Source organism: Homo sapiens, chromosome 7 (assembly GCF_000001405.40).
Source record: "Homo sapiens chromosome 7, GRCh38.p14 Primary Assembly".
Lineage (NCBI taxonomy): Eukaryota > Metazoa > Chordata > Mammalia > Primates > Hominidae > Homo > Homo sapiens.
Window position 1 is genome coordinate 156,433,326 of NC_000007.14, and position 12,654 is coordinate 156,445,979.

General features: G+C 47.3%; 1 long non-coding RNA gene across 1 annotated transcript, besides 1 other annotated feature; it reads right to left on the reverse strand.

Moving 5' to 3' along the window:
- Positions 1-4,463: 4,463 nt before the first annotated feature.
- LOC285889 (uncharacterized) lies at positions 4,464-12,263 on the reverse strand. The gene is made up of 3 exons (NR_038232.1): positions 10,924-12,263; positions 7,905-8,055; positions 4,464-5,670 (listed from the first exon to the last, which is right to left on the reverse strand). It is a non-coding gene; the product is annotated as an uncharacterized LOC285889 (long non-coding RNA).
- Positions 6,931-7,805: an enhancer, noted in NCBI's record as "H3K4me1 hESC enhancer chr7:156232950-156233824 (GRCh37/hg19 assembly coordinates)". NCBI's record gives its function as "activates a minimal SCP1, AML or CMV promoter by ChIP-STARR-seq in primed H9 embryonic stem cells {active_cell/tissue: H9 hESC(primed)}" and the evidence as "EXISTENCE:reporter gene assay evidence [ECO:0000049][PMID:30033119]".
- Positions 12,264-12,654: the final 391 nt, after the last annotated feature.

Here is a 12,654-nt window from a genome sequence, read left to right on the forward strand (position 1 = left end):
AAACAAACATTATTTTAATCAACATCTTCACTTAGAAAATGTAAAGATGGCGACCTGAATGTAGTTTACATTTTTCCTGCAATTTTAATGGTCTATGAAATTCCTAATTCTGGGAAGCCCTGCTCTTAAAAGCATTGAATGTTTATGACCTTGATGGCAGTGATGGTTTCACAGGTGTATACATAGCCCCAAACTCATCAAGTTGTATACATTAAATATGTGCAGCTTTTGACATATCAATCATACCTCAATAATGTGGTTTAAATATGTATATACATATATATGTACACACATATACATGGACCATATATACATATTTAACATATATATTTATATACATGTATATACACATATACATATATGTGTAAGTAGAGTCCAGGAGCATCCATATGTATATCTGAGTGCGTGCATATATACAAAGCTTGGCACTCCAGTACCTCTGAATACACTTATTTGCTCATTCAACTAGCATTCATTGAGAGTTTACTATGGCTCATACTCTGACCAAGCCCTGAGGATCCAAATCTTCTCAAAGCTATAGACCAGCAGGGCTATATATAATGTAAAATCAGCTTCAACACAGTGTCACGGGGTCTATGCTATAGAAAGTGAGGGTGCTACAGAAGTGTGAACCTGGAGCCCTGCCTTGGCTAGGATGGGAAAGAAGGTTACTGAGGGAGAGCTGTACCAGCCAAGAGCCAAAGGGCTGGGCAGAAAATAGCCAGAGAAAGTGAGGAGGAAGAAGGAAAAACACACAGAACACCTTGAGGAATCAGAAAGCCAAAAACAAAGTATTTGTACGATTAGAATATGAAGAGTGTGGAGGAGGCAACTGAGGTCTGGGAGGAGAGGAAGGACCAGAAGGATAGAAACACAAACAGGAACCAGACCAAGAGGGGCCTGAGCCCTGCCTTTAGGACTCGGGATTCCAGCAAGGACAATGGGAAACACGCAAGAGTTTAAACAGGATTGGATCAGGTTTACGGTTGGATCTTCGGTGTGGACAATGGGTTAAAGGTGGACATGGTGAACACAGGGAGACCAGCTGGGAGTAAGCAGTCTCAGACAGAGACATCCAGAGCTTGGGCCAGGGACAGCAGGGAGCCTTGGGCATGGTCATAGTCATGGAGAGAGGATCCCATGTTTCTTTCTAGGCTGCTGGGGTGGCAACCTCGGACAGAAACATCCAGAGCTCAGACGAGGGTCGGTGGGGAGCATTGGGCATGGTCATGGACTGAGGCTCCCACATTTCTTTCTAGGCTTCTGGGGAGACAATGGCACCATTCGTTAAGCCAGGCAGCTTCAGAATGGATGAGTTCGTTTGGGGACATGTTTGAGATATTTGTGGGACACGCAAAATGCAATGTCTCTCGAGAAGACAGGTGGGCCTGAGGCTGAAGAGAGAGACCGAGCATGAGATGAGGATGCAGAAGGCACCAGTACAGAATGTACAGCCTGGAAAAGCCAATGCCAAGAGAAGGTTAGAGCCTGGAGAAGCCTGAGGACCACCTGCGTCTAGGAAGCAGCAAGAATGAGGTGGGGGCAGGGGGATCTCAGTGTCTCAGAAAGAGCCAGGAGCCACCAGATTGGTGAGGACCAGAAACCCCTTCGGACTGGGTGGTCAGTCCAGGGACTTAGGGGCAGAAGCCCCATGAGGGGGCACTAAGGAGTGTGTAGGAGCAAGGGACGGCTAGCACGGGTGGGCTACTTCAGAAATTTGGTGTGACTGGGAGGAAAGAAATGGAGTTTGGGGTGATGGAAAACCAGGGTGCAGGGAGAGGTATTTTGAGATTGAACTCTTCCGGTCTAGATAAAAGTGTCAAAAAAGAGAGAATTTTGCAGAGACATCCATAAGGGAAGGTCACTGCAAAGGCAGGTGGCCAAGTTGCCCCTAGTAGGAGGGAAGGAGGACAGGTTGGGAGGACGCCAGGGAGGGGTCAGGTGGCATTGCCTGATGTCTGTTCACTCTGGAGGGAGGCAAGGTCATCTTATGAAGCTGCATGGAGGAGAGGCTGCATGGAGGAGGCAGGCAGGTGAAATGTTCGAGACTGGTGTAGAAGGTGAGGCATCCATGAAGGAAACAGAAGAGGCAGTGTCATGTTTCTGTGTCACACTGACAGAAATCAAGTGCAGCCCCCACCTTGTGACTTTCTGGATAGTACTTCCCCAAGCCCTCCTTTACATCATGTTTTACTTTTTCTCCCCACTGTCTTGAGAGTGAGACCAGGTCCTTACCAATTGAATCTCAACATTTTGTGTGTCCCAAAATACCCACACAGCACCTCACACATCACCATGACTCAAGAAAGCCTCGATCGAGATTGGCTGGTGTGATTTCCGCGCCTTTGCTCCCAGCGGCCCAGCCCCCGCCCCACAGCCTCACAGCCGCCCATTCTCCCCACTAAGGAGCAGCAGTCCCTTTAACTCACTCACGCAGCTCACAACATGGCAGACAGGTGACAGACAGCTCGTGTGCACCTAAAGAAACGTGGGGTCAGTCATTTGAGCACAGCAGAGCAAGGCGCCCAAAGGAAGTTATTGGACTAGACCCATTCTTTGTCAGGAATCTGAAAGTGAGAATTGACGGTATATTAATAAATAATATAATACAATTAATTAATTATTAGTTAATATAATATGTAACTATGAATGTATGTTATGTATTATATTAACTAATAATTGTTTTATACTTATATTATTTATACATTAATTTGATTTATTATTAATCATTAAATTGTATGTTAAGAAATACATAAATTTATGTATTAATAATATAATTATATTGTTATTAATAATTAATTAATTGATAATGTGGCCAGCATGCCAGCTTGTCCCTGGGTTCTTCAGAGTTCTGTCCTGTGGGCTGATCCCAAATTGTCCTTTAATCCAGACCCATCCCCCTCACCTACCCCTACAAAAGGGCTCAAATCACCAGGTTATTATTAGTTAACTGATCAATAACCCATGGAGGGGGAATCCCCAGAAAACCCTGCCTGTCTAGACCATTGTCCCCTTCACACCAGGAAAGTTTGGTTTTGCAAGCAAGACCCTCAGAACCTACACACAGTAAAATCACAGTTCTTCTCCCATAGACCCTGCAGTGAGTCAGATGTCACCACCACCAGCTCTCACAGGCAGAAGGAATTGTCGAGACTGAGGCCTGAAAGAGAGAGAGCTTTCCTTCAGGTTGCCGGCAAATTCTAGCAGATCTGAAGCCGTAAGCCGGGGCTTTTTAATTCCCAGCCAGTTCTTTCCACTGCATTCGTCCCAATCATTCAATTTTGAGCAGATAGGGTAAGAATCTCTTGAGTTTGGGTGGCCCAAGCCAAGATCAGAACGTAGCCCGCCTCGTTCTCCCAGCTCCTGTTTTGTGTCCCAGAGCTGGGGGCAACACTTAAGTCCTTTCCTCTGACTGGGCCTGGAGGCCCCCAGAGCCGAACATCTCCCATCTTTATTTTTCTTACATGGTGTCAAAGTCAAGTTAAGCTGAGCACTGAAATTGGTGTTTTCTGCCTCAGAGATAAAAATAGTTGGTGAAGCTTAAAGAAGTTCTGCCCCAGTTTATTTAAGGCATAATCTCAAATATCCCTTTGTCCTAATTATCATGCTATCCCCCGAAGGCAAGGAGCACAGAGAAAATCGGAGAGCAGTGCTAGGTTTTATTTTTGATCTTCAATTCAACTCTGTCAAATATTTACAAATCCCCTCAGAGCGTGAGTCCACTGGGCGAGTGTCATTGGGTTCACCAAGTGGGAGAAAAAATTAAAATGAAATGAAGCAAGGGCAGAATTCCTAAGGAGTAGGAAGCCTTCATTCCAAAGCCGTTCGGGGATGGTCGATGGTTTTAATGCACTGACAGGTGCTCAGCCTTTTTCACCATCTCCCTAACCTTGAACCAGGAACTCAGAGCACTTCACAGGGTGCCCCATCCACATCGCGGTTCAGCCAGGGCCAGCAGAGCCAGCTGCTTCTGCATTAGTCCTGTCCCTGGTAAGACTGCCCTAACATTTGGGTTCTACCACAAGGCAAATACCATGGAAATCTGAATTTATGATGATGAGGGTATATATTTTTATGGAAAAAAAAATGCCTAGGCAGACATTTTCTTTTAGGATGCTGGATTGAGCCATAAATCCAGCCTAAGGTTTACCTTTGGGCCTCTTAGTGAAGTACCTGATTCCATTAAGAGTAGAAACATCCTTCAAAAACAGCTGTGGAACAAATACAACCTGCAAACAGCAGGTCTGAAACAGACTCTCCCTCGTCAACCACTTCTCAATTCCTGCAGCCCTACGTCTATCAACACAGACGTCTTAGAGTCTCTGGGACCTCGTTCTATACGGGACTTGTCTTTTTTAGAGTCTGAAATTCGCATTTCTCCCTTCAAATTCCCCACTTTAAATTAACATGAAAAGGCTAAACTTTAATAGAAGAGCCGCTCAATTATGATCTGGGCAATGGATGGGTGTGAATTCCTTTATTCTACAAATATTTATTGGGCCTTCGATATGGAGAAGGCCCATGCTAGGCAATGAGAAATGCTGTTACACTATGAAATGTTCTAACAATTAAATGCTTCTGTGTGTAGAATGGTTTATAACTAACTCAAAGTGCTCTGTGCAAAGGATCCCCGAAGTGAGCGGCGTGCTGGCCACGAAGAGTTTCATCACTTACTGTAAATCACATAAACAAATAACAGCATTATTTAAATGAGGGCCCTTTACTTACAGAAACCCTATTGCAGTTATTTTCTTTCAAGATCTAATTAGATTTAAAGCTTCATTTGGAAAACAGAAGATGAAAATGAACCTCTTATCCTAAGGGCATCTGGATGAGAATCAAATGCATACATGATTTTTTTTTATCATACAGCATATTTGCCCAGGTCATAAGCAAACAAAAGAGCTCTGTTCTACGGTGTAGTAAGAAGGAAGAAAAAATAAACTGAGCCATGTCTTGTGACAGTCGATGCTCATGCTTAGTGTGTTCATGATTGATTCCCTTGTTTTTGACACTGTTTTAGGAAAATTAGCACTAATTTGATCAGTCCCTGTACATTTGAGATACATAAATTTAGGGATTGTATTGAAACTCCCAAAACAAACATACACTACACCATACTTTTAGGAGTCAATATAAAGTATTCTGAAATTGAAAATAAACAGATAAGTAAGTTACACCCATCCTTAAAGATGTACAATGAGTAACATGGCCCTTAGTGGGGCCTTTAAATATTTGAATGATTGGCTGGATGAGCCAGTGAGACAACTCAGCGGACAACTTTTGAACTTGGCCCACTTGGAAAGCACATGCCTTTGTCAGAAGCTCATTCTATCAGGCCACAGTATTTGTTACAAAACATACAAATATAACTGCTTTCTGATTGTAGTAACTATATTTTTTTAATGTTCCTAAAACAAAGCATATGAAGAAGAAACACGCTTGTATTCTTCATTTTGCCAAAAGATTCTTAAATTTAAAGGAGCTGCAGGAAAGTTCTTGCGTACATGAAGCTGCCAGGTGCATTTAAGTGGTGGTCTATAAAGCAGTGGCTTTCTGGCTGGGCGCGGTGGCTCATGCCTGCAATCCCAGCACTTTGGAGGCCGAGGCAGACAGATCGCTTGAGCACAGGAGTTCGTGACTAGCCTGGGTAACACGGCAAAACCCCATCTAAAAAAAATAAAATAAACAAATACAAAAATCAGCCAAGCATAGTGGTGTGCACCTGTAGTCCCAGCAACTCAAGAGGCTGAGGTGGGAGGATTGCTTGAGCCTGGGAGGCAGAGGCTGCATGAGCTGAGATCATGCCACTGCACTCCAGCCTGGGTGACAGAGTGGGACACTGTCTCAAAAAAAAAACAAAAGAAAAATTAAAAAATAAAGTGGTGCCTTCTTGACCACACTCAGCAGAGACGGATAAGGCACAGAAATGTACAGTTCAGAGGAGCCACTGCTGAGAGATTGGTCGGGAATGACTATCAGGCCACCTCTGGAAAGACCAAGTCTGTGTGAGTCCATTATAGAGATTCTATCCACACTTGCTCTGTGACCACATCTACCCCGTCACATCCGTTGGTCCCTGTGGAAGTTGCCTCTTTGCAGTGACACTTTCATAGATTTCTTGAGGAGTCACTGACTGGCAGACAGTGGCACTTTTAACAAGATGGAAACTCCCTGTGCAGATAATTAAGAGTCCCAGAGAGAGGAGAAGTAGTGCTTCCCGCATCTGCTCCCACCTCCAGCCTCCTGGGTCCGCTCAGCTCCATCCACTTACTCCGTCTGAGCTTCCCAGGGACTTCCAGCCACCAGGTGAAGAAAGCATGTGAGAAGCTGTTCGCTGGTCAGTGTCCTTCACTGGCTTCTCCAGGTTTCCCCTAACAGGAAAGGGTTTCTCATTCCAATCTGCGTTTTAGGGTGCTGAGCACCTCCATGTAGGGGTGCCAAGCCACCTGCGTGTCTGGGTGCTGAGCCACCTGCATGTCGGGGTGCTGAGCACCTGTGTGTTGGCGTGCCAAGCCACCTGCGTGTCTGGGTGCTGAGCCACCTGCATGTCAGGGTGCCAAGCCACCTGCGTGTTGGGGTGCTGAGCCACCTGCATGTTGGGGTGCTGAGTGACCTGCATGTTGGGGTGCTGAGAGACCTGTGTGTCGGGGTGCTGAGCCATCTGTGTCTTGAGGTGCTGAGCACCTGCATGTTGGGGTGCCGAGCCAACTGCGTGTCGGGGTGCTGGGCACCTACTTGCTTGTCCTCACTTATGCCCCTTCCTTCTCTGGCCCTGGACTCTCAGCCCATGCCTGGCCACCTGGGTGTAGACCTCACATGGCTCCAATCTGACTCACTTCTGCAGTCACTCCTGTGCCCACGGCTGCTCCCTGGGAATGGATGGAGTGTGGGCTTGGTGCCTGGCCTAGAAGACGAAAGAAGAGGGGGCCCTGTATGGACACCTCCACTCTGGCCCCGCCAGAGTTAGGGAAGAGGGAAGGAGAACGGGCTGGCTCAGATGGGGCACCAGGTCCCTTAGATGCCCAGGAAGGAGGCCGTCGAACCCCTGGCTCACAGTGCATCCTCCTCTCCTGGCTTCCCCTAACAGCTGTTTTCCACACGGCCTATGTGATAGCAGGCTTGTTTGGTCACATTTCTGCCTAATTATTTCATGTTCAAAAATCATTACTGACTAAACGATGAGATCCTTAAAGGCCCCTGGCACTTGCCCAGTGGAAAAGTCAGTGAGGAAATCGACGCTGATGCCTCCCAAGCCCAAGCTGAGGTCGCAACAGCCCTCCCTTCTAGACCGGCAGGTCCAGCTGCCAGCCCCTCCACGGGTCCTGAAGGCTCTACACCCAGGCGGCGATTCCCCTGCACCCCGGCCTCCTTGAGGGTCCCTGTCTCAGCGCCACCAGCTACACACACCAAAAACCAGGGCACACTCCTTGACACACTTTCCATTTCATCCCCAAAATCAAACGCAAGCTGCTACCAACGTCCCATCGGGCTTTCCCCTGTGCCTGTGCTTTTTCCACACTCCACACATTTGCCTCGGCCCTTCTCCCACCCCCATCCGAGACACCGCCGCTTCTCACCTGCCCCCCCGGCAGTAGGTCCTGGTTGTGTAGGATGGACCACACTCTCTGCAGCCCATTCCCACACGACAGCCAGAGTGTCTGATCTGCCACTGATCTGACTGGGTCACTCCTGCACCCAAAACCCTCCCATGGCTCTCCGTGACCCTCCAAAGCGATTCCAGACCCATTCTCCTGCTTCATCATAAGCCCCCATCGACCTCACCTCCCATCCCCCAAGGCCGTGAGCAGTCCCTCTGGCCTCCTTCCGCCAGCTCGGCAGCATCCTTGCACCTCCGGCTTTTGCACAAACTGCCCCCATTGCTCTTCACCCCCCTCACTTACCTCATTCTCGTTCTTCCAAACGCCACTTCCTCAGCAAAGCCTCTCCCCGCTGTCAACTTCCCTCTGTACATGCTCACGACACTGCACTTGTCCTCCCTTCGTACCCTGTGATGATGGCTCCACTTCCTGCTGCATGGACTCCTGAATACACCTAATAAATAAATAAATAAATAAATATAAAACAGCAAGCAAACAACAGAAACCACCGCTGTGCACTCCTGCATTACATCAGATCCAATTTACCTGAACCACAAGAGGTTAATTGCTTCCAAAGGTGGTGTGTTTTCTAACTGGTGCAAAAAAGACCATTGCAAACTCTGGGATTTAGGACTTTTCTACGACAATTCATGACAGTGATGATGAGACTGTGTGCTCGGAGGAGCCACAGAGCAGAGGGTACACAGACCCTGCAGAGGCACAGCAGGGCCTGGAATTCAGCAGGGGACTAAGGCACCCGGAGTCACACAGTGGGAGGCCATCACAAACCCCAGCCCTAAGGGACCAGGGAGAGAGTGATTACCCGAACCCACTGGCCGCAGAGAGAGAAATGAGACCCCATCCAAACACGACCTGGCAGGAAAGTTGCCAGGAAATAAAGGCCCCAGCCTCTCCCCTTACCCCCTTCTGATCTTACACCAGGGCCTTCCATTGCCCAAACCCAACCGAAGGCCAGAGCCCTGGAGGGTGGAGTCCCTAGAGACCAGCCTCCCAGGGCCCAGACCGGACGTGGAATGTCAGCATATGGGTCTGAAAGGACAAAGAGGGACTTCCAGGCACACCTGTTCCTTTTGCCAGGTGGACATAAGAGAAAGATGATGGAGAAAGCTCCCACCTCCAAGAGCTGAGGTCTCTCTTCTCTCACACACAAGGCCTTGTTTTGTGTGGGGTTTAGTGAAGCAACAGGTGCTGGCTGTTGGCACGGCTCAGAGCTTATGCATCATACACAGGTGTCCTGGGAGCATCTCTCCTCAGAACCACAGGAACCTGGTTTAGGAACCGCACTCCTGGGGTCACCGCTGCCCTGTCCAGGAAACAGGGCTGACCATGTGGCCCTTGCTCGTCTTCCCCTTTTTTTCTTATGATACAAAAACTAAAACTGGAGGCATTTTGAGCACCTTACAAAATGTGCAGCTTCCAAACTTGTGTGACATTGGCCAAGCTGCCTTTCTGAGCTAATCAGGTGCGTGAACATCACGGCACAGTAGACAACCTCCAGGGCTGGCCTCAAACAGTCTCCCTGCTTCATCTCCTCAAGTGCATTAAGACATTTTCGAGCTTGCTTGCAAGTTCCAACCTTAAAATCCTGATTATTTATTTATGCCCTTTTTGTCTAAGAAGTTAAATCCCCAAAGCATCTCAATTTAGATCAAAAGCAATTTACCAAACTTCACCTGGCGCACCTGTGCCTTGTGATTTGTTAATTACCTGCTTAGCATTTCCAGAGCTGCGAGGCAGAGCCGCAGCCTCGTTGGCTGCAGGGAGAAACCTCTGATACTCGTCTCCTGCATCACAGCCTTCCAGAACGCCTGGGGTGTTCACCGGGTGAAGCTACTCCACCAACTAAGTCACATGCACTTCTGCAAATTGCTCTTATTTTCCAGGGTGAAGAACTCGGCGTGGAGCAAACACACACGTGAATGCAGTAAGCTGCTGACATATTTCTTGGCTACCTGATCAAATTCTACAATGGTCCTAATCTGTCTTATCAGCAGCGTCCTATCACACGTGAGATCATCAAACAGCAGCACCCCGTTTATTCCCCCAGCGCCTTTGGTTGACAATTTGGCATTAGAATATTAGGAATAACAGTAATTATGGCTTTTACAATTGCTTCAAATGAAAGAGATCATTAAAGTGCACACATGAAAAGATTATCTCATTTCTGAGATAGCTCTGTTAGGTTTTCTTCCTTTTTTTAATTTTTTCTCCTTCAAAGTTCCTAGCAATCATCCCTGTGAGTGTTTTCTCTGTAGCTGGGGAAGCAGCAGAGGAATGAAAAAGATAGGGGGTTTGTTAAACAGCACAGTGCCCTGACGTTTTTTGTCCTTCCTCCCACCCCCCAGTTTTCTTGTGAAGAAACAGAAAGCATAACCTTTTCTGAACTCAACACTGCCAGAGAGGGCCAGGGAAGGGTGGCATGTGCCAGGTGCTGGCCTGCCTGGGTCACCTGCATGGAGTTTTTCCTTTTTAAGTTAAGCTCTGGGCAAGTTAAGTATACTCCATGCTTTGAGGCATCTAGAAAATTAAGATTATAAAATTCACTGGCTTCCGGAAGTAATAATAAAGACGTAGCTCAATGCCTCTCCTCTGCAGAGGCGCTCTGATCCTCCATGTAGAAGTGATCACTCCCCCATTGAGCTCCCACTGTACTTTATTTTTATCTCTTCCATGAAACTTGCCACGTTTTGACTTGCACCCTAATTGTAATTATGTCCCAGCTCATTCATGATGCTGCAAGTCCTTTTAAAGCCAGATCCTATCGCTGACTCCTCTGTATCCCTCTTCCGCACCCAAACTGCCTCCCCCTTGGACCTGCACATGGGCACCACTCCTGGCCTGCGCTCAGGGCTGCCACTGAGCCACCTCGTTTACCAGCTCTTGCATGGTTCGTGTCTCTTGGAGTCTTTACTCGTCTGCAGGATTTGCAACATATTCCCAATCAGAACTTGTATTTCCAATCTCGCTTCATGTTCTAAAACTCCATCAGAATTTCTTCCCAAATATCCCACACTATCCCAGTCTTACTGCAAGATCTTGATATATTGATTAGAAGAAATGGTACCTTACAGCAGGGGGCGGGGAGGGAAGTTATCATAGCAATCACAGTTAAATAAATCCTATCCTTCATAAAATAATGAAATGAGTAATCTAAAAAAAATACAATGAATAATGAATCAAGATCAATTGACTTCCAGCTGCTACGAAGAAAAACAGGCTCTGGTTGGTTTTCTACAGGAGCGTGAAATGAGTGGAGCTGCTTCATCCACAAAATGTGATTCATTTGGATAACGGCACTCACCTGGCTCTACATGTGTTGAGTGTTCCAGGACCTGGGGGTGTCTTCACACTAATAAATATTCATTTATGGTTGTAGTTGTGCAAACTGAAAAGATATATGTCTATTTATTCACATCGATGATGATAGTTGGACTAATTCCAAAGCAATACAAAACCAAACAACGCAAGCAGTGCTGTGCTGTATGTGGTGGGAGAGAGTCCTCGCGTCGGAACACCTGGGTTCAAGTCCCTCCTCAGCTAAAGAGCCCGTGTGTTCCGGCCACTGGCTTCCCTCAGGCCCTCAAGCTCCTCAGGCCATAAACTGAAGGGGCCGTAGTCAGGACTTTTCAGATCTACACTGTGCCTGCCCAAAGAGAGTTTTTATCCTTTACAGAAACCCCAGAACTTCCAACAGGTCAAATAAAAACCACAGTAATTTGAAGGTAGAAGCTGCTTGTATCTCTACTGTGGAGCCGTTTGCTCCTATTTCTTCTGTATCTCTCAATGAGCCTACCAAAATGGCGGCCTTTGGGAAGCCTCCAAGCAGCACCGCTGACGGACAATGTACCAGAGACTCTAGGATCTAACCAAAGGTGGGGAACGGTTATTTGAGTTACAGCCTCTCGGACACACCAAAAGTCAAAGCAATCAAAAATTGTGAAGGAGGAAAGCGTCTGCATTTCCGCTCTTTCTAGAGTGGCAGTGTGAAAACATCCCGGCCCGCCATGCTCAGCCACCGAGGTGCAGACTTTGGACGAAATTGCTTTTGGCAGGAAGGTGCGCCCTTCCCAGCTCCATTCCAGTCTAGAATTAAATTGCCTGTGGTTGATATCAGCACCCAGAGCAAATGACGATGGGCCAGAAGGCACAGACCACGTCTCCTCACACCCAGGGTCACCGGGTGCCCCAAACACTGCGCTGAATGCTCAGAGTGAGCCTGAGTGAGACCTGGAGGAGCACAGAGCCCCAGCCTCTTGCCCCCCTGTCCTGGCATGGAGCCACCCTGTGTTCATCTCCTGGGGCTGCTCTCACAAATGACCACAAACTTGGTAACTTCAAACAGAAATGCATTTTCTCCCAGTTCTGCAGGACGGAAATCCAGTATCAGATTTGGTTCCTTCTGAAGGCTCTGGAGAGCGTCAGCTCCATCCCATCTCCTCCTGGGAGCTGCTGGCAATCCTTGGTGTTCCTTGGGCACAGATACATCACTCCAGTCCCTGCCTCCACTGTCACATGGAACTCTCCCTGTGTCTCTGTCTGTGTCATGGGGTCTCGGGCCTACCTGATTAGTCCAGGAGGATTTCATCTTGAGGTCCTTAATTACATCTGCAAAGACCCTTTTGTCCGAATGAGGTCCCATTCATGGGCTCCAAGTGGACTAATTTTGGGGGGTTGGGGAGGCATCATCCAACCCCTTGCACAGCATTCTTCCTCAGGATGCTTAAAATTGCGAAACCTTTTACTCCTGTTTTTCTATATCTCTCAATGAGCCTAACAAAATGGCAGCCCTTGGGAAGTCTCCAGGCAGTGCCATTGACCAACAAGGTTATCGCCAACCCAGTTTTCCTGTAGAGCATGCTGACCTTGCCTTTCCAAACTCCTGGAAAGCAAGAACAAAAGTTTTTTTAAAAAATTTACATAGAATTGGCATATATTAGACACTTCATGTTTAATTGAACGGATCATTTTTGAGTAAACTTTTCTTGTGATAGCCTGTGGTCGTTGCATTATTTCCCCAAGAATGCATTTTGTG